Source organism: Homo sapiens, chromosome 12, assembly GCF_000001405.40.
Source record: "Homo sapiens chromosome 12, GRCh38.p14 Primary Assembly".
NCBI lineage: Eukaryota > Metazoa > Chordata > Mammalia > Primates > Hominidae > Homo > Homo sapiens.
This window is the reverse complement of record NC_000012.12, coordinates 108101264-108122568: the sequence shown is the minus strand read 5'-3', so window position 1 is coordinate 108122568 and position 21305 is coordinate 108101264. Positions and strand designations below refer to the sequence as shown.

General features: G+C 44.9%; 2 annotated features.

The window, feature by feature from the left end:
* Positions 2907-3026: an enhancer, noted in NCBI's record as "active region_6958". NCBI's record gives its function as "activates an Ori minimal core promoter by ATAC-STARR-seq in GM12878 lymphoblastoid cells {active_cell/tissue: GM12878}" and the evidence as "EXISTENCE:reporter gene assay evidence [ECO:0000049][PMID:35858748]".
* Positions 3037-3086: an enhancer, noted in NCBI's record as "active region_6957". NCBI's record gives its function as "activates an Ori minimal core promoter by ATAC-STARR-seq in GM12878 lymphoblastoid cells {active_cell/tissue: GM12878}" and the evidence as "EXISTENCE:reporter gene assay evidence [ECO:0000049][PMID:35858748]".

Below are 21305 nucleotides of genomic sequence, written 5' to 3'. Positions count from 1 at the left end.
ATGTTAATTATTTATTGCATGGCTGTCTTCCCCTCTGGACTATAAACTCCACAAGGGCAGAAATCATCCTGTTCAGAGAGCAAGCCTGGCAGAGTAGATGCTCCATGAATATCTGTGGACTTACAGACTCTTCTGACCAGTTCCTCTGTGTCTGTTGGTTGCCACGTACTTCCTGAAGATGTTCCATGTGGTGTATTTTCATGGTACAGGTGAGGGATTAGATGTTGGATCTGGGTTCAAGTCTTAGACCCAGCTCTTCCTATGTGACCTTAGGCAGGCCATCTCACTTCTCTGAGCTTCAGTTTACTCATCTGTAGAATGGGGACAAGAATCTCTACCTGTGGAGTTGTTTTGAAGGTCAAATGCTATAACAGTATTTTTGTCATTACTATTAAAATGAACAGACTTATCATATGTAGATGGTTACTTTCAGTATTTCTATGATTCCATAAACTGTAGGGCCATAGTCTCCAAGACATGAATATTATCTTGAAGTATATTTTTACTTCCATGGACAACTCATATTCAGCACACATTGGCACATCTCTTGTTGAAAGAAACAGTACTGAGCAGAGATTATCTTTTATCATCATTTGTTATCTGTTCAGTTAGCTGTACCACAAGCTTGCCCCTGAATGCAGGATCCATATCTAATTTGTCTGTGTATCACTAGCACTTAGCAATGGCCTTACACACTGTAAGGACTCAATACATGCAGGTTCCTGACCCCCACCTGGAGCCACAGCCACATGCCACGTGCATTTGTTGATTTAATCCTTGCAACAGACCCCCATGGCCAGTATTGTTTCCATCTTGCAAATTGAAAAACTGAGGCCCATGAGATGAAGTGACTTTCCCAAACTCACAGAACGTGCAGGTTTCAGGCCTAGGTTATTCTGGCTCCACCCTGGGGATTTTCCACTGGGACACATGGCTGTCACGGCTGGCAAATGGGTCAATCCCAGTTGCAGTCTAAAATGTAGCACGATGCCCTCATTCTCTCAGGGGACTCCAGCCTGGCCTCCAGAGAAAGGATCTTGGAAAGCAGCCTCTTCTGGCACGTTCCAGTTTAGACACACAAGCCTCCTGGGATCTCTGAGAGCCATGGGCTCACGGGCTGGATGGATGATTTTTACCTTGCAGTTTGCAGGAGTCAGCCTGACCTGGTTACAGAACTGCTCCAAGAAGCTTCCGTCTTTTGAATGTCACTTTTCCCCCAGGACTTCACAGTTCAAACCTTTTCCATGTGAATACACTTACGAGCCACAGCCCGTTAATAACAACAGCAACATTTACTGAGCTCCTATTCTGTGTAGGTCCAGGGTCCACTGATCCGGAGCCCTCACATCCATTTTGGCCTTGCAATCTCACTACTGCCGTGAAAGGCAGGTATTCCCCAAATGGGAAGACGGAGGCTCAGGGAAAAGTTAGATCACCTGCCCAGTGTCACAGTGCTGGGAACTGGTGCAGCTAAGATCCGGACCTCACCCAGCCAGGGTCTGAGCAAAGAGACAGGGAGTCAACACTCAGGCAGCCAGAATGGAGCTTGCTGTTCCACCGCCCACCTCTGAAGCAGGAGCTCTTTAAAGACATATGGGGACATCGTTGTCCTTGGCACCCTGCCTCCTCTCACCATCTTGTCCATCCCCCAAACCCAGCCGCAACAATCTTTTAGGACAGACACAGCTCTGGCTATACCCCGCTCCTGCTTAAGACCTCTAAGCGGCTTCCCAGCACACACAGCTAAAAGCCCAAACTCCTCCACTCAGTGCTAAGGCCTTTTGACGTCTGGCCTCAGATCCACTTCCTGCTGCATTTCCACAGCTCCCCTCCACCCTCCAGGGCGGATTCTCCATGCCTCCTCCCATGCTCTACTCCTTTACTGCCTTGCCTTTGAGTGGTTTTCTCTCCTTGGACTGCTCTTTCCTCCCTTCCATTTTTCCATCCAACAAACTCCTGCTCAGCCTTGTGTTTCACATGTTGCCTTCCTTTGGGATGTCTTAGTTTCTAGAACCCTCACTAATATAGCAGGGCCAGGGAGTACAGACGGAAACTGGTGTGGCCAGTTGAATCTTACTACCCTCATTATACCTTTTGACATGATCAAAGAAGGCAGTTTTGTATCCATGGTCTAGCGCAAAGAAATACATCACAACTACCTTGTATCCATGGTCTAGTGCAAAGAAATACATCACAGCAACCATTTTCTTGAGCTCAAAACCCCTCCTCTCCTCTCGTGCATTTGTTGTTTCATTTGCCCAGCAGAGCATACCTCATCTTTGTAGGAACTGCTGCTCCGAACTACAACACATGTGTCTGGAGGAAGTCATCCCTGAATGTAGATGTAGATGGGATGCCATTGAGCCTGGCTGGGCCAGTCTTAGAACTCCATTGCCCTGGCCACAGTGATTGGTCCAGCAATTGGCACATGATGACTCAAGCCCGGCCAATCAGAAACCTTCCCTGATAATTGTTCTGCTTGGTCTTGGTGGGTGTTTTGAGAGCCCCCAGCTCAACTAGGGTTCCAGTAGCAGACTGGCTAGTGGCCCTGCTCTCATGGGAAACAAAGGGGAGCTGGACATGGGTGTCTACACAGTGCCTTTCATGAGATACTTATTTTACCTGGCAGATGACCTAATGCCTAGTTGTCTGACCTGCGACCAGGAGATCTCTCACCTGGGAAACTTGTTTATATTGGCAGACACCCTGTCGCTCTCATCTGACCCGTAGCCAGTTTATCCTTGTCTGACCATTGCATTGGCACTGGGATCCTGCCCTTCTGTTTTACCTGGTGTCCCTGGGGCAAACCCAGCCTGGGGCAAACCCAGCCTGGGGCAGCCCCTAGTTCTTCAGATGCAAGATGCAAATTCAATACACCATCACAAGAGGAAATAAGTTCAAAATTTTCTACTAGAAGATTCAAGGCAAGGAGGGCATAATGAGTTGGGAGGACAGTCTTCTGTCCCCAGGTCATGCAAGGCAGAAATGAAGAGTCAGGCAGAGAGAGAGAGAGAGAGAGAGAGAAGGACATGGTGTGCAGTACATATAAGGGAACAGGGTGTGGGTCACTTTCAGTTTGCAAGGAAATGTCTGAATGGCCCCTTTAAATGATTCAACAGGAAAGTGGGGAGCCCAGTTGCTAGGCAGGACAGAGGCCTCGAGTTCTTATCTTCAGCCACTGGCTCTAGCAATTTGGGTGTGGTGTAGAACTGAAACTATGTCAGGAGTCAGCGAGCCCTGCTTCTGGTTTGAGAAAATTAAACTTGTGTTCCAAGCAGATGCTAAGGCAACATAAATTTGTCAGAATTCACTACAATGGAAAACAGCTCTATTTGATGTGGTCATGAGGCTCTGAGTTGGGAGGTGCAGAGCTACCTGTGATGTTGGTTTGAGCCCAGTGGGGACAACTGTCCTGAAAGAATGAATGCAGACAAACCGCGAGAGAAAGAATATGTTGATGAATTAGTTCCTGGATCTAACCTTCCCACCCCAAGACCAGCTACACCCCAGATCTTTCTGCAATTTGGGTCAAAAGAGCCAATTGGTAGGCCTTTGGTAGGTTCAAGTTTAAGATGGGTTTTGGTGACTTACAATCATAGGGTTCTGACATGTGAATGGTTTAAAACTCCTTCTCCAGTTTTATTATGCCATAATGTCATCAATAAATATTTACTAAGAAACTGATGTGGACCAGGCACTCAGCTAAGTAATGGGACACAACAGTGAGCTAAAGATATGGTCCCTCCCATACAGAGCTGACAGGCTGGAACTGCACAGTCCAATGCAGTAGCCACTAGCCACTGTGGCTATTTAAATTTAAAATAATTAAATTAAGTTAAATTAAAAATTCAGAGCAAGAAAACAAATAACCTGATTGAAAAACAGGCAATGCATCTGAATAGACATTGCTCAAAAGAAGAAACACAAATGGTCATCAGGTATGGAAAATGTGCCCAACATCACTAATCATCAGGGAAATGCAAATCAAAATCCCAATGAGCTATCACCTCATACCTGTTAGGATGATTATGATCAAAAAGATGAGAGATAACACGGGTTGGGAAGGGTGTGGAGAAAGGGAACCCTTGTCCATTGTTGGTGGGAATGTAAACTGGTACAGCCATTATGGAAAACAGTATGGAGATTCATAAAAAAATTAACAATAGAACTCACATATGATCCAGCAATCCCACTTCTGGATATAAATCCAAAGAAAATTAAGTCAGTATATTTTAGAGACATCTGCACTCTTATGCTCATCTGCACTCTCATGCTCATTGCAGCACTATTCACAATAGCCAACATATGAAATCAACCTAAATGTCCACTGATAGATGAATGGGTAAAGAAAATGTGGCACACACACATACACACTGAAATATTATTCAGCTTGTAAAAAGATGGAAATCCTGTTGTTTGTAATAACACAGATGAACCTAGAGGACATTATGCTAAGTGAAACAACCCAGACACAGAAAGACAAATACTGCACAATCACACTTGGTAGAATCTAAAAAAGGTCAAACTCATAGAAGCAGAGAGTAGAAAGGTGATTGCCAGAGGCTGAAGAGTGGGAGGGGAAATGGGGGGATGTTGGTCAAAAGGCAGAAAGTTTCAGTTATGCAGGATGAATAACTTCTGGAGATCTAATATATAACATGATGACTATTGTTAATAATACTCTATAGTACACTTGAAATTTGCCAAAAGAGTAGATCTTAAATGTTCTTATTGTAACTTCACAAGACTAATCTGGTTCAACTTTTATGTAAGAAAGTTGTGAGTTTTCAGTTGCCATGGACTCCCAGTTTGAAGGTTACGTAACCTGAGCATGCCCAGATGAACCAAGCATGCAACCAGGGGTAGAACCTAAGTGCTTGGTTGGAGGAGGGGATACTGAATTAAGAAATGGACACCATATGGCAGGGTCCGGGGTCCAATCAGATTGAGCCCTGGCCTCACCCCACGGTATGGTCCAGTCAGAGCACGCCTCCTGGTATCACCTCATGGCAAGATCCAATCAGATCACACCTCATTACCCTCTGACTATAAAGCCTGCCCCAACTCCCAGCTTGTGGAGACAAGTTTTGAGTGTTTCCTCCTGTCTCCTTGCCAGTCAATTCACAGTAAACCTTTATCACTGCAAAAACCCGGTGTTTCAGTGTGTGACTTGGCATTACATGTCGGCAAATGGACCCAGTTTGGTTCCATAACATCACCACAAAAAATTAAAAATAATAAAGATGTGAGGTGATGGATATGTTAATTAGCTTGATTGTGGTTATCTCTTCACAATGTCTACATGTATGTGTATCAAAACATCATGTTATACACCTTAAATATATACAATTTTTATTTGCCAATTATACCTCAATAAAGCTGGGGAAAAAAGAACACATCAGTTAAAAAAAATCTGAGTGCCTTTTCTTCGTCCTCTTCTGGTACTTAACCTGCTTTTTCAAGGAGGAAATTTAGTTCATTGCTGAGAGCTACTTGATAGTTGATGTTGAAGTCCTTATAGAACCCTAGAATATATATGTGTATATATGTGTGTGTACATATGTATATGAAAATATAAATATGCATACACACAAACATACACATATACATTTCAAACACACACACATATTTCAAAGGTTTGGTAAGCCTTCCGATGCCAATTTCTAAGCATGAGATTCCAGAAATAGAATGTCATCATAACACAGATGTTACATACTCTGGAAACTTCCTGCAAGAAGTTTGTCCTTTTAAGCATTTAAAAATAAAGAATTTCTCCAAATAAATTCAGTTATTTACTCTCACCACATTTCAATTACTCAGTAGGAACATGTGGCTAGTGGCTACCACACTGAATAGCACAAATATAGAACACTGCCATCAGAGCAAATCAGTCTATCAGACAGCCTGGTCTAGAGCTTCACTAGCCAAAGTGTTATCCTAAGACTAGCAGCACCGGCTTCACCTGGGAGCTTGTTGGAAATAGAGAATCTCAAGCTCCAACCCAGACCTATAGAGCCAGAATCTGCATTTCAATAAGATTCCCAGTGATTCATGTGTACATCAAAGTTTGAGAGACCCTGTCCTGTCAGCCACTCCTAGTTTAACCCCGTCTTCCTGACTGTCACAACCCAACTTCCTGTGTCCAGGATTGATGGTTCCAACCTCAAGAGAGACATACAGGCGTGTATGGCCATCAGCTTACTGACCTCTCCCCCAGCCACAAAATCAACTCCAAAGGTGTTTATCCACGAGCAAAGGTTTCAAGGAACAACCCCAATGTTCACCCTAATAAATACCCTCTCAAGGCATTGGCCAAGTCAGAATATAGGATTGGCATTAATAAGACCACCAGACTAGGTTGAGGTTTGGTGGCAATCCCACCCCAGGATTTTTCAATGATTCATTTTTTTCAGGGTAAAATAACTGCAGACTGCTGAAGGGAGTAAAGTGTTTGTGTTGTGTTATATTTTTATTTTTGCAGAAAGAGGAAGAAGACTTTCACTGTGTAGCAGAAGGGTCCTCCTTGCTTTCATGCTGTAAAGGATTTGCCCACTCCTGTGTGGGTTTCCAGGCTGCCAACCAACTCAGCCTGACTGAGAAGCCCAGTGTACTCTGAAAAACCTTTATACACACACACACACACACACACACACACACACGCACACACGCTTGAACTAATTGGTGGCACCCAACCATAACCAAGAAAAAAGGCAACAAACTACCGACATTTAAATTGCAGATTGTGACCTTTATGCTTGAAATCGTTTCAAACATCCTGTTTATAGCTTTGGGGTTCTGGCACTCAATAATCCTACAAATCATTTTCCTCTGTTTTTTTAATGGTTATTATTATGCATTACATTTCCCCAATTTCTGGGCCTCACCCCCAGTTGGTTTCTCCAGAGAGACTAGGTAATTTGAAAATGCCTGCAGCATGACTTTTTTGCTTTAATGTTGCCAGTTTATTCTACTTAGCTGAACCAGATGCAGAAGCTGGTGAACAATGCTTGGCCCTGCCCACTCATGACAGAGGGAGGGAAGTGAAAAAGAGGGAGGGGCTGTGGAGGTGGGAGAGAAAAAGGCTTTTTCTCCAAGCTGTAAAACTTCTCTGACCCAAAGGTCTTTAATGCGTGGGTCTAGGTTAGCATTCCCTGAAGTGTTGGTAAATTACAGGGGAATATATTGGTAGGTGTTACAAGGTAACTGTAGGTTAAACAGAAGTGAAAGGATTCCTTAATGCAGGACTTCTCAGGACCTTTAAATGCTAAAGTATATGGAGAAGTCTCTTTGGTATGAAGTGGGGAGGCAGGTCTACTGTGTCATTTCGCAAGTTTATTGAATTAAGGTGCACCTATTTCTCTGAGTGATCTCACAAAACACGGCTCACAGCCCACTTGGGAGGCACTGCTTGTTCTGGATACAATGGTACAATTGCAGACAGGTGGGCTGGCTTCCCTCCCTCCCTCCCTCCCTCCCTCCCTCCCTTCCTTCCTTCCTTCCTTCCTTCCTTCCTTCCTCTTTCTCTTTCTTCCTTCCTCTCTCTCTCTCTTTCTTTCTCCCTTTCTTTTCTTCGACAGAGTCTTACTATGTTGTCCAGGCTGGAATGCAGCGGCTATTCACAGGTGCAATCATAGCTCACTGCAACCTTGAACTTCTGAGTTCAAGTGATCCTTCTGCCTCAGCCTCACAAGTCTCAAGTCTGGGACTGCAGGTGCACATCACCACACCCAACTTGCAGCAAGGTATCTATGACCCAGCCTTAGGTGCTCCAGGATGTCACTTCTGCCACATTCTATAGGTCAAGCAAGTTACTAAGGTCTGCCCAGATTCACAGGAGGTGAAATAGCCTCTGTTTCTCAATAGAATGTACATCATTTTCAATCCACCACGCTGCCCCGGGCTTCCCAAACAGTATGTTAAAGACTCAAAATCAGAAAGACAGGAACATGAGCCCTGCTTCCTGGCACTCTAAACATTTCCATTTTAAACACCAACTCACACCCCTCCAACTATACCCACAGATCTAGGAGTTGGAGTTGGATATAGTTGTTTCTGCTTTCCAACATTTCTCTCCACTTTCTTCTGGAAAAAAACCCCCCTTTCCTGAGGGGACCCACAGGTACTTAGAACTAGCCTGTTGAGAGTAACAGCACACACTTGATTTCTCTCTGAGAGCTCATGCCTGAAGCACAATAAATGTCTGATGATTGAGTGAGTGGATCAAGGAATAATTCCAGCAGAAATAAACAGTCATGTGTATTGTGGGCCAGGCACTGTGCTATGTAGTTTATATTCACTTACTCATTTAATCCTTTTTACAAATTTATGAAGTGGCTACTAGGTTTATTGCCGTTTGACAGATGAGGAACCTGAGTCATTTGCCACATGGGTAACAAGTAGTAAGTCAGAGATTCCAGGCCAGATCCATCTGACTTTGCATCTGATGTTCTGAAAAGCCCTATAACTGGACAGAGGGAAAGAAAAGCAGTCAGTACCCACTGTGGTCCCTATTTTCTAAGTACTTCTGTATGCAAGATTCATAGGTTACTATTTATTGTTTTCTCTATGCCAGGCTTTGTTCTAAGAACTGTGTTTGCTCACTCAACCCTCACAGCAATGTCATCACGTAGGGATTATGATAATTGAGGAAATTGAGGCACAGCAATGTGAATTGACCTACTCAGTGCCACGTGGCTTCTTGTTAGAGGCAGAGCCAGGATTTGAACTCAGGACTCTGGCCCCAGGAGTCATGCTGTCCTCCATTTGGCCACTCTAAGGCACATCCTTTGTTTACTTCCCAGATGGCAACAGAAGTTAGAACCAAAAGACCAAATCTCGATTGCATTCAGCTCTGTTAGAACCTTCCAAACTCAGAGCTTCAGCACAGCTGAGACAGTGTCCTGCCTCCTGCCTGGGTTTTGAAGACATGTACCTTTTCAGCTTCTGTCACCCTCCCTGGGCCAGTCCTGGCATGAATCAAAGCATTCGAGCAGAAGGAAAACTACAGCTGGGTCAGGAGCCCAGCCTTGGGGGTCCTGCTTGCCTGGTCTGGCAGTCTGAACAGCCCCCGTTACTTCTGACCACCCCTCTGACAGCAGGATAGAGAAACTCTCTTTAAGGGGCTCTGAAGGCCCACCCTGCATTCCCCACATTCCCCACTGCCTCAGGGTGGAAAGAATTTCCAACCAAACTTGGCAAGGCAGGAAAGACTGTGGCCTGGCTGCCCCTGCTGGAAGTTGCAATACCGGCCTAGCCCTTCTGCCTCCCCTTGCTCACTGCTAAGAATAACCAGGCTACCTCCACACCCACCACTGGGGCTGCAGCCTTTTCTGAGATCTCCCTTTGCTCGGTTTAAACCCTCCATGGTAGAAGAGAAATTAGACTGCGAGCCCCAAGAGCGGGAGCTCGAATCTAATTTGTGTGTTGCAGAGAACACTGTCTTGCTGTGTTGGGGGAACCACCTATGTCTAGGGCATTTCTGGAGATCGGAGCTGCTTTCTATTAGGACTGCGTTCGTTTGCAGGGAGCTGGCCCTTACACCCTCTGGGGCAGATGCTGTCAGTGCCTGGCCTATATTCCCGCCCAGTGCGGCAGCTTCATAGTGCAAGCCTGGGTCTCTTTCCTGAAGATTTCCCTGAGCCAGGCCATCAAGAAGTGCTAGGGAGTGGATCCTGCAGGAAGATCCTTAAAACAAGGACAATGGGAATTTGTGAATAAACACCCCAGGTCCTTGTCCCTGGGGTGGGATAACTCCGAGCATTTGAGCAAGTCTTATGCTGCCTCCCACAGTCACACCACTCACTTGCTCATCAACATACCTGTGTTGACTTTCTTCTCTTCCCTGTTTCACTTCCCTTCCTCCCTACTGACGTTTCTAAGGATTTGCTCCTTGCCTCAGTGTCTGCTTCTTCTAGAGACGCTCAAACTGAAACACTTTCTGAGGCTCCTGATTGGGAAGAGTGGGGAAGCCTCTCACCTTGAGGGGCCAGGCTCTTCTTTGTCAGGGCTCATGAAGGTGACGGGTGGAGTAGGCAAGCAGACCTGTGACCAGCCCCGAAATCTTCAGCCTGTGGCCTTGCGATCCCTGGCGTGGGTTTCTATCCACTGCAGCTACTTTCCTTCCTGCTTATGTTTAGCTCCAGAGACTTTGGAAATCATTTGCAGTCCAGGAGCCTGGGCCAAGCAGAAGTCCATGTGCTGAAATCTATGCTGGGTGCGACTGTGTGTCAGACACTGTGCAGGGCTCTGGGGACCTGGTGATGAGGGTGCAGGGAGCATTTATCAGAGGGAGTCAGTCCAGCAGGGGTCCAAGAGGTCTTCCTGATGGAGAATTTTTTTTTGAGACACTCTCATTCTGTCCCCCAAGCTGGAGTGCAGTGGCATGATCTAGGCTCACTGCAACCTCTGCCTCTCAGGTTCAAGCGATTCTCCTTCCTCATCCTCCCGAGTAACTGAGACTACAGGTGTGTGCCACCACATCCAGCTAATTTTTGTATTTTTTGTAGAGACAGGGGTTTCACCATGTTGGCTAGGCTGGTCTCAAACTCCTGACCTCAAGTGATCTACCCACCTTGGCCTCCCAAAGTACTGGGATTACAGATGTGAGCCACTGCACCTGGCCCTGGAGAAGGTGGAGAAGATTCTGATGTCTGCACTCCAGCACTAGAAATCCTGATTTGATAGATCTATTACAGGTGTGGCCTGGACATTGGCAGGGTTGAAATCTCCCCAGGTGATTCCAATTTGCAGTCAGGGTAGAGACCTACTGCTTTAAGGTCCTCTCAAAGCCTGGTTCTGCCTGCTCAGCTGGTGGGCTCAGGGGAGAAGGTGAGAGTTTTAATGGTAATGTCCAAGGCAGCAGTGTAACCCGGCTTCTGTTGTCTTACCCACCCTGGTTCATGGGGGTCAAGGAAGGCATGGCCCATAAGGGACCTGTGGTAGAGGAGTCAGGCCTCCTAGGGCCCTCGAGTATATACCCCAGATATCCAACCAGTCCACACTAGCTGTGCTCATGTGTAACCCTGAGAACTCATATTCCCTGAAAATGGAGTCTATGACCTAGTGAGGAAGCCCACGTTGCCCTGGAGGACAGCCCAGCTCTGAACACACACACACACACACACACACACACACACAAACACTAACACACACACTCTCAGCATGGGACCAGGCACACATTAGGTGCTCAATCCACTTATCGGCACTTACTGTGTCTCTGTGACTGTGCTGAGCAATTTGTATACATTCTATTTTCATCTCTTCTGACAACCATAATAGGGTGCTGATTCCACTGTCCCCATTTTAAGGCTGACGCAAGGAAGGCTAGGAGATGTTAAATAACTTGTCCAAGGTCACACAGCAGCAGAACTAAGATTTGAACCCAGATCTGATTCTGAAGTCCAGGAGTTGCAGAACCATTATGGAAACTCCTTCCCTATGAAATAGGCAGAAAGAACCTATAGTTGAATGTTTGAATGACCGAATGAACTAATGAGTGAGTGAATGAATGAGTGAAGGAGTGAGTGAATGAATGAGTTATTGGTTGGCTGCCAGATTTCATGTCCAGTGGCCCACTTCTCTTTCCCATGTGATTTTTGTGACTTATGCACCATCCTTGAGCTCAAGACAATCTCATTGGTAATGAACTTCCAGGTCTCATTCTCTGTGGATTCCTCAGTCTTTGTCCTTCTCCACTGACAAAGCTGTCCTGAGACAGGGTTACTATGCTGCCCAACTTCAGGCCACTATTCATATTAAAACTAGAAACAGGCCAGGCACGGTGGCTCATGTCTGTATTCCCAGCATTTTGGGAGGCCGAGGTGGGTGGATCACGAGGTCAGGAGTTCGAGACCAGCCTGACTAACATGATGAAACTCTGTCTCTACTAAAAATACAAAAATTAGCCGGGCTTGGTGGTGCGTGCCTGTAATCCCAGCTACTTAGGAGGCTGAGGCAGGAGAATCACTTGAACCCAGGAGGCAGAGGTTGCAGTGAGCCCAGATAGCATCACTGCACTCCAGCCTGGGAGACAGAGTGAGAGTCCAAACCAAAAAAACAAACAAACAAACAAACAAAAAAGACTAGAAACAACACCTCCTATGGCACAAGCTCCAGAGAGTGGTGACACCTGGAGTTGTACAACGTGGTGGCCATGGTGGAAACATTTAAAGGGATATAAAATGATCTTATCTCACCATCCAGACCCACATCCTCCCCAAAGGAGGCGTCCTTCCCAGCCAAAGCTCGACTACCTCCTGCTCACCCTGTTTGCTTTTCAGCCATGACTTTCACTCTGACCTCTAATTAAAGTGAGTATATTGGGTCAATATTCCCAAAAGTGCAACAGAATTTCTGGGTTTCCCTGCATGTGGACATACAGCCTTTGGAGTCAGAAAGACATGGGTTCTAATCCCAGCTTCACCACTTTAGCAGCTGTGTGGCTTTGTGCAGGGAACGTTACCTCTCTGTGCTTCAGTTTCCCCATCTGCAACATGGGGATAATAATAGCACCTCACAGAGATGTGAGGATTTGAGGAATAAATTATATCAGTGCTTCTCAAATGGGGCTGATTTTGTTCCCAGGGAACACTGGACGATGTTTGGAGGCATTTTTGGTTGTCACAACTGGGGCAATGGTACCGACATCTGGTGGATAGAAGTCAGAGATGCTGCTCAGCATCCTGCAATGCACAAGACATCCATCCCTCTGCCCCAGCAACAAAGAATTATCTGGTACAAAATGGCAATAGTGCCTATATGATCCAGCAATTCCACTTATGGACAAATACCCAAAGGAATTAAAAGCAGAGCCTGGAAGAGATATTTGCATATGCATGTTAATAGCAGCATGAGTCACATTAGCCAAAAGGTGAAGCCATGCAAGTCTCCATGACAGATGAATGGACAAACAAAACGTGGTGTATTCATAGAATAGAATATTATTCAGCCTTAAAAACGAAGGAAATTCTGACACATGCTACAACATGGATGAGTCTTGAGGACGTCATGCCAAGTGAAATAAGTCAGTCTCAAAAAGACAAAGACTGTATGATTCCACTTATATGGGGTACCAAAAATAGTCAAATTTGTAGAAACAGAAAGCAGAATGATGGTTGTCAGGGGCTGGGGGGAAAAGGGAGTAAGGAGGTATTGTTTAATCGGTATAGAGTCTCATCTCTTTCATCCCAGATGAAAGGAGTTCTAAAGACAGATGGTGGTGATGGTTGCACATTACAAATGTACTTACTGCCACTGAGCTGTACACTTAAAAATGGCCAAAATGGTAAATTTTATGTGCTGTATCTTTACCACAACTTTAAAAATTGGAAAAAATATTCATAGTGCTGCTTTTGAGAAACCCTGACCTAAGTAAATCATATAGCACTCAAGTGGATAGAGAGTAGCTACCCTCAAAATGTTAGTTCCTTTCCACTTTCTTTCTCTTTTTAATTTTATTTTAATTTTATTGAGATAGAGTCTTGTTCCATCCCCCAGGGTGAAGTGCAGTGGCTCAATTTCAGCTCACTGCAACCTCTGCCTCCCAGGTTCAAGTGATTCTTCTGCCTCAGCCTCCCGAGTAGCAGGGATTACAGGCCTGCACCCACAAGCCCAGCTAATTTTGGTATTAAAAATGCAAAAATTAAAAATACTAAAAGTAGAGATGGGGGTTTTGCCATGTTGACCAGACTGGTCTCAAATGCCTGGACTCAAGCAATCTGCCCACCTCGGCCTCCCAAAGTGCTGGGATTACAGGTGTGAGCCACCACACCTGACCTATTTTCTTTTTTTATAATCACCCAGAATTTAACCTGTTACAGTTATCCTGGCTGATGTGTTGTAAGAAAAACATATTAATTTAAAAATGTGGGCTGGGTGCGGTGGCTCATGCCTGTAATCCCAGCACTTTGGGTGGCTGAGGCGGGTGGATCATGATATCACAAGATTGAGATCACCCTGGCCACACAGTGAAACCCCGTCTCTACTAAAAATACAAAAAAAAAAAAAAAATTAACCAGGCATGGTGGAACGTGCCTGTAATCCCAGCTACTTGGGAGGCTGAGGCAGGAGAATCGCTTGAACCCAGGAGGCGGAGGTTGCAGTGAGCTGAGATCGTGCCACTGCACTCCAACCTGGGCGACATAGCGAGACTCTGTCTCAAAAAAAAAAATGTGGGGTGATGAGAAACAGGTTCTAGGCCTATGCTTTCCAATAGAAATATGATAGGAGTCACAATACTTATTATTTTTATTTTAACAGCTTTATTGAGCTATCACTAACATATAAAATTTTTTATATATACATATATATTTAAAGTGCATACCTTGATTTTTTTCTCATTTAATTTTTTAAAGTTTAGATTCAGGAGGTACACGTGCAGGTTTGTGACATGGGTAGATTGTGTAATGTCGAGGTTTGTGTTTCTAAGGATCCTGTCACCCAGTGGTGAATATAGAACCCGGTAGGTCGTTTTTCAGCCCTTACCCCACACCCTCCCTCTCCTCTCTTGGAAACCCCAGTGTTTGCCGTTTCCATCCTTCTGTCCCTGTGTATCCAATATTTAGTTCCCACTTATAACTGAGAACACACACATGTAATTTTAAACTTTCCAGTAGCCACATTAAGAAAGAAAAATAAAACAGGTGAAATAATATTACAATATTTTAAATATTCTATTTAACCCAACATATCGAAGATATGATCATTTCAACAGGAAATAAATATAAAATATGAATGAGCTATTATATACCTTTTTTTGTACTAGGTCTGCAAAATCCCGTGTTTATGTGACCCTCACAGATCATCTCAGTTTGGACTTGCCACATGTTAAGTCCTCTGTAGCCACAACTGGCTCATGGCTGCTGTATGGAACAACACGGTGTTAGACGAAAACCTTTCCACTCACAGGTCAGATTGGTAATGGAAAAAAAAGACAAGGAGAAATAGGAAGAAAGGAAGGTAGGAAGGGAATCTTCCAGAGCATACCAGCAGGAAACAGAACTAACATCTCCAAAAAAGGGCTGGAGCCTTGTTGTCTGCCTCTCTGACCGTAGCTGCTGGAGACAGTGTTCGCACCCTGTCTCTCCAGGTCAAACTGGTTCCACAAGAGGTCAAAGACAAGCCCAGCCTGGGGAGCTTGTTCTCCACTTGCTGCCCACAGCGGGAACACACAGTCACTGGGGAGGACCACCATCCCCACCCCCATGAAATCAAAGATACTGTTTGCATAAGCCTCATCCAAGGCTGGCTCTTGCAATATTTTACATTTTTATTTTATTTTATTTGTTAGAGACAAGGTCTTGGTCTGTTGCCCAGTCTGGAGTGCAGTGGTGCCATCCCACTTTGCTACAGCTTCAAACACCTGGGCCCAAAGGATCCTCCTGCCTCAGCTTCTCAAGTAGCTGGGAGTACAGGTATGCAACTACCACATCCAGGTAATTAAATAAATTTATTTTGCAGAGATGGGGTCTCGCTATGTTGCCTGGATTGGTCTCAAACTCTTGGTCTCAAGCAATCCTTCCACCTTGGCCTCCCAAAGTGCTGGGATTACAGATGTAAGCCATGGTGCCCAGCCCTCCTGCAATATTTTAAATCACCTTTGGCTTAGAGAGGTTGAGTGCCTGCTTGTTTCATCAAGCAATTCCCTGGATGAGACAGAGCCCATTTCCATGGCTAATATGATGGAGCGTTTGGGGAATGCTGAATCCATTAGGGACCAAAGTGGTTTCCCATTGTCATTAGCTGAAATCTGATGACTGGACAGCTCAGGGCTCAGGGTAGAGGCCCCAGGATCAGTGGGTGGATTCCCAAAACAACTGCTAAGTCAGGGCAGTCCTGATAAGACCATCTGCAAAGTGCTTAAGGGCACAAGCAGTGGGACTGGGCTTCCTGGGTCCACATCCCAGCTCTGCTCCTTTGAGTCCCTCTTTTTTCTATTTTAAAAAAATTTTTAGTTAACATATAATAATTGTATATATATGGAGCACAAGGCTTACATTGTGGGATGATTAAATCAAACTGATTAACCTATTCATAATCCCATATACTTATCTTTTTTTTTTTTTTAATGGCAACATTTAAAATCAACTCTTTTAGGGCTGGGTATGGTGGCTCACACTTGTAATTGCAACACTTTGGGAAGCTGAGGGAGGAAGATCACTTGAAGCCAGGAGTTTGAGACCAGCCTGGGCAACATAGCAAGACCTCGTCACTGTAAAAAGTTAAAAAGTTAGCTGGTCGTGGTGGTGTGTGCCTGTAGTCCCAGCTATTTGGGAGGCTAAGGTGGGAGGATCGCTTGAGCCAAGAGTTCAAGGTTGTGGTAAGCTAGGATTATGTAACAGCACTCCAGCCCAGGTGGCAGAGAAAGACCCTGTCTCAAAAAATAAATAAATAAAATCTACTGCTTGAGTAATTTTGAAATATACATTATTATTAACTATAGCCACCATGCTGTACAATAAACCTCTAAAGCCTATTCCTTCAGTAAAACGGAAACTTTGCACCCTTTGAACATCTCCCCATCCCACCCCACCCCACCCAGCCTCTGGTAACCACCATCCTACTCTCTACGTCTATAAATTCTACTTTTTTAGATTCTACATAGAAGTGAGATCATGCAGTACTTATGTTTCTATGCCTGTGAGCCCCTTTATTCATTCATAAGGTGGATGTAAGAATTGTTATTCCATTTGCCTTGGACAATCTTTCCCCAGACATTGCTTGACTCTCACAGTCACATTTCCCTAGTCTTTGTTCAGATGCCACTTCCTCCGTGCAGCCTTTCAGCACTGCCTTGTTAGAAACTGCGACTCCACCCCAGCACTTGTCATTCCCTTTCCCTGCTCTATTTTATTTTTCATAACATTTACTACTAACCACACTACATTACAGTTTTATATATTTTATGTGTTGTCTCTCTCTCCCCAGTAAGAATATCAGCTCCAAGAGGGCAGAGGTTTTGCCCGTTTTGTTCACTGCTGTATTCCCAGAATGAAGCAGGTGCTCAAAAAACATTTGTGAAATAACGTATTAATTAAATAAGCACCTAACAGTACCTGGCACAGAGTAGGGCATTATTATTACACAGACATTGTTCACAAATCAGGCCAATGCCACATGGTTCCTACTTTACTAATTCATCTAAAAATATTTCTTGTGCATATACTATATGCCAAGGAGTGTGCTGGGCTCTGGTGACGCAGGAATGGACAAAAGGACTTATAGATCAGCAGAGGACTTCATAGTACCTCAGAGGTTATTGTGGTGATCGAATGAACGAATGTATGCAAAATACTCTGCACAATCAGGCACAGAGTGGTTGTATCAGTCGGCTTTTGTGATGATAAAGCTATGAGACAAACACCCCCAAAATCTCAGTGGTCCTCAGCAAATAGTTATTTCTTGCTTATGCCTGCAGGTTAGCTGTGGATCAGATTTGGGTCTGCTCCATGTGTCTTGTCATTTTGCAATCAAGGCTATAGGACTGGCTCCTAATTGTTTTGTAGAGACTGAGTCTCACTGTGTTGCCCAGGCTGGTCTCAAACTCCTGGCCTCAAGCAATCCTCTCACCTTGTCCTCAAATGTGCTGAGACTACAGGAGTGAGCCACTGCATCCGGCCCTCCTGCAATATGTAGCATGCTATTCTCTTAGGAGAAAGCAAGAATTGGCAGAAATTTGTCATGCCTAATAGAGGCTACTGCCTGGAAATGCCACATCATCACTTTTGCCCACATTCCAATGGCCAAATAAAGTCACATGGCTAAGCCCAACATCAGCAGAGTGAGGAAATATACTCTGCCCACTGACCAGGAAGGAGAGAGTGAATATTTGATGGGTAATAGTACAAAATACCATATGTTTAATAAACTTCTTTATAAGGGAGAAAAAAAAGTTTCTCCCACAAAATCCAATATGGGGGGCGGTTGACAGTTACACATTATCCCAAGGAGAGTAACCTCGATGGTGATAGAGTTGGAGGCTAGAAACCCGTTGGTATTTGTATGAAGAGGAGAGAGCACCAGTTTGCAGTCAAGGCAGACTCAGGATTCAAGCCTTGGCACTATGAATTGACAACTAAGCCTCTCAGCCTGTCCTTTCACCTCCCCAGGTGTCATCTATAAAATGAGCCTCCTACACGGGGTCGCCTAGAGAGGCAGGAGGTCTAATGTGTGGGCAGGTCATTTGTGAGCCATGAACACCCCACAGTTGTTGGGTATTATTCAGAGCCATTAATGGGTGTAATGCCCAGTGGCTCAGCTCAGTGGGCATTTTCTGAGCCTCGGACCACTCCTGGTGGAAATTTGCATAAGGTTCCGTTGAATGTGACAGCTCAATATTTATCTTATAGTTCCTTCTCCAGCATCTCCCATCCCTGATTCAGAGTCCTAGTCCTAGCAAAGAAGTCATTCAAAACAAATATTTATTATGCTTCTTGATGGGCCTGGTACTCTTCTAGGGGCTGGGAACACAGCAGTAAAGGAGGCAGAAATAACACTTGCTCTTATGAACTTCAAGTTCTATGGGGGAAGAGGGATTTTGGGCAAGTAATTCTGAGTGTAGGGAGAATTAGGGTGGCACAGGAAACAATGGATGAGACTGAGAGGAAGAGCCAAATCGGAGGGGAAGTCTTACCAGGAAAGCCACCCTTATAACACATGGTGGCCAGAGTTGTGATGGAGACAAGCATGGGAAGCTGAGAGAACCCAGTGGGGTCACCTGATCCAGGCTGGAAAGTCCGAGGTGGCTTCCTAGGGGAGATATATCACACCATACTGGTTGATTCTCCCAGATCTACTCCATCAAAAGTGATTGGATGTGTCAAAGCCAATGATGGTGATGCAATTCTCCTTTCTGCCAGTGATTGGTTCAGGGAAGGACATGAGACCAATCCTGGCCAAGGACACATGAAGGACAGTCTGTTAGGAGGCTGCCGGGAAAGTTTCCTTGGTTCCAAAAACAAGGCATAAGAAAAAAAAATCTGGTTTCTCTGCATGTTCTGGGTCTGGTTATGATGTCAGGTTTGCTACATCCACGTTGAAACCTGCCTGGCATAACACCTCCAGAGTACATACATGGAAGGGACAGGGATGCTTGAGGACACCATTGAACTGCTGCCTTGACCAAACCAGGACTCTCCTCCCCTCTTGACTTCTGAAGTTCCATTCATGTGAAACATTAAATGTTCTTACTAGTTCTGCCAATTTGAAGAAAGGATTTATATTAGTTGCTTCTAAGAGCTAATATAGGGGAAACCTGAGCTGGGTTTTGAAGGATGAATAAGAGTTTTCCAGGTGAAGGAGAGAAGGTCAACTAAGGTAGAGGGAAAGAATCACAAGGGGCCAGGTCATGGAGGTCTGCTATATACCAGGCTGAGGATTCTGGCCTTACTCTGAGAATGGCTTCTATACAGATCAGGTGAGGCCCCTTAGGAGGCAGTGCAGACCTGAGTTCCAGTCCTGCCTTCCCCCACTTGAAAGCAACTGAAATTAGACAATGCACATAAAACTTCCTGAGTTTCCATTTCCCCCTCTATAAAATGAAGATAACACCTACTTTGCAGGGCTTGATGAGAATTAAATAAGCTAATGGGCATAAAATCCTTAGCAAAGTCTCTGGAATGGGGTAAATGCAGCCTTTATTGTTACTAGAGTTGTATTATTTTTATACCATTATCGTCACACATACACTGTATTGGTTAGCCATTGCTGCCTAATAAACCATCCCCAAACTCATTGCTTTAATTATTTTGCTCATTGTCTGTTGGTGAGCTGGTGATTTTTCTGGTCTCAGCTAAACTCACTTAAGTGTCTGAGTACAGCTGGAGGTCAGGTAGGTGGCTTCGTTGTCTTGGTGGGGTTTTCAGTATTTGAGGGTCAACTGGCCATAGGCTGATATAGAATGACCTTGTCTGAAATGACTGAGCTCCCCTCCACAAGCTCTTATCTGCTAGCAGATATCCTGGGGTTGTCCCCATAGTAGCTGGGCAAGATTTCAAAAGAGAAAGTAGAAGTGTTCTAGTCCTCTTGACTCCTGAGAACCCCTAGGAACTCTCTGAGTCACTTCCACTATACTCTATAGGCCAATACAAGTGATAAGGCCAGCTTAGATTCAAGGATTTTTCAGGAACCAGACTCCACTTTTCAATGAGAGGGCTGCAAAAGCACATTGGAAAAAGAGTAAATACAGAGAAGGGCAGCAAATTGCCACCATTTCTGCATCTACCACACATAATTCTGATGTCAGGAGACCTGGAATGCCCCACTCAGAATTTGTCTGATCAGAGTCCCCAGCCAGCAAACATCCAGAAAAGGCTGTGGTCCACTCCAAAGGCCTCCCCGAGCCTCTTTCTTGGCTGTATTTGTACATTTTGATTGGTTCCCCTACTTATCAGCCCAGCAGGAAGAACCTTCCTTGTCACCAGCCCCTGGAGAGTTATTAAAATCCTGCACTATCATCCAGACCTTAATAGGAGATTCCTGAAGGCAGAAACCTGACTTGCCCTAATTTTCCATAATTAACTCATCAAGGCACATGGCATGGCTGCTGCTGTCCTCGGGGGCTCTCTGGCTTTTCCCAGACTGCCCAGTAAGTCCCTGCTCACCACATCGCATGGGGGAAGGGAAGCTACTGTTTATGGAAGACCTATTATGAGGCCAGCTGGGTGGGCTCTTTCTAGGTGTGAACTCATTGCTTTTCTCAACTGCTGAGCCAGGTGGATATTATGATTTCCATGTTATGATGAACTGGCTGAGGCCCAGAGAGGTGAAGTCCCTTGCCTAAGAACACACAGCTGGGAAATTCCTGAACCTAGGTTAGTGGTTATTTGGTTACTTACGGGGCCATACCTGGACAGGTTCCAAAGAAACTGAAGGTGCAAGTCAATACAGTCTCCTTTCTCTGAAAAATAAAAAAAAGAAACAAAAAACAAACAAAAAAAAACTGGCCCCCTGAGGTGATGTGATTCAATCACAAGTGTCTCCCCTAGCGGCTATCACAGTGCTTGGAGCCCCTGCGCTAATCACTCCCTTCACTGGGTATTTCTTTTTCCATCACTGTCACCAAAAATTAGCACCAGGCAAGGAGACCCTGTTAAAATACAAATAGTGTGGAGCTCCAATTAGTTAAAACACAGTTTCCTGAGCTTCCCCTCAGACCTTTTAAAACAGACTCTTTAGGAATGAGGCCCTGGAGTCTGTATTTTAATGTTCTCCTCCATAGGTAATTCTGATGTAAAAGCCAGTGACAACATCCTGCATGGAAAGACACCCACACAGTGTTGCTGTTGTTGTTGATATTAAGTGAATAAAGC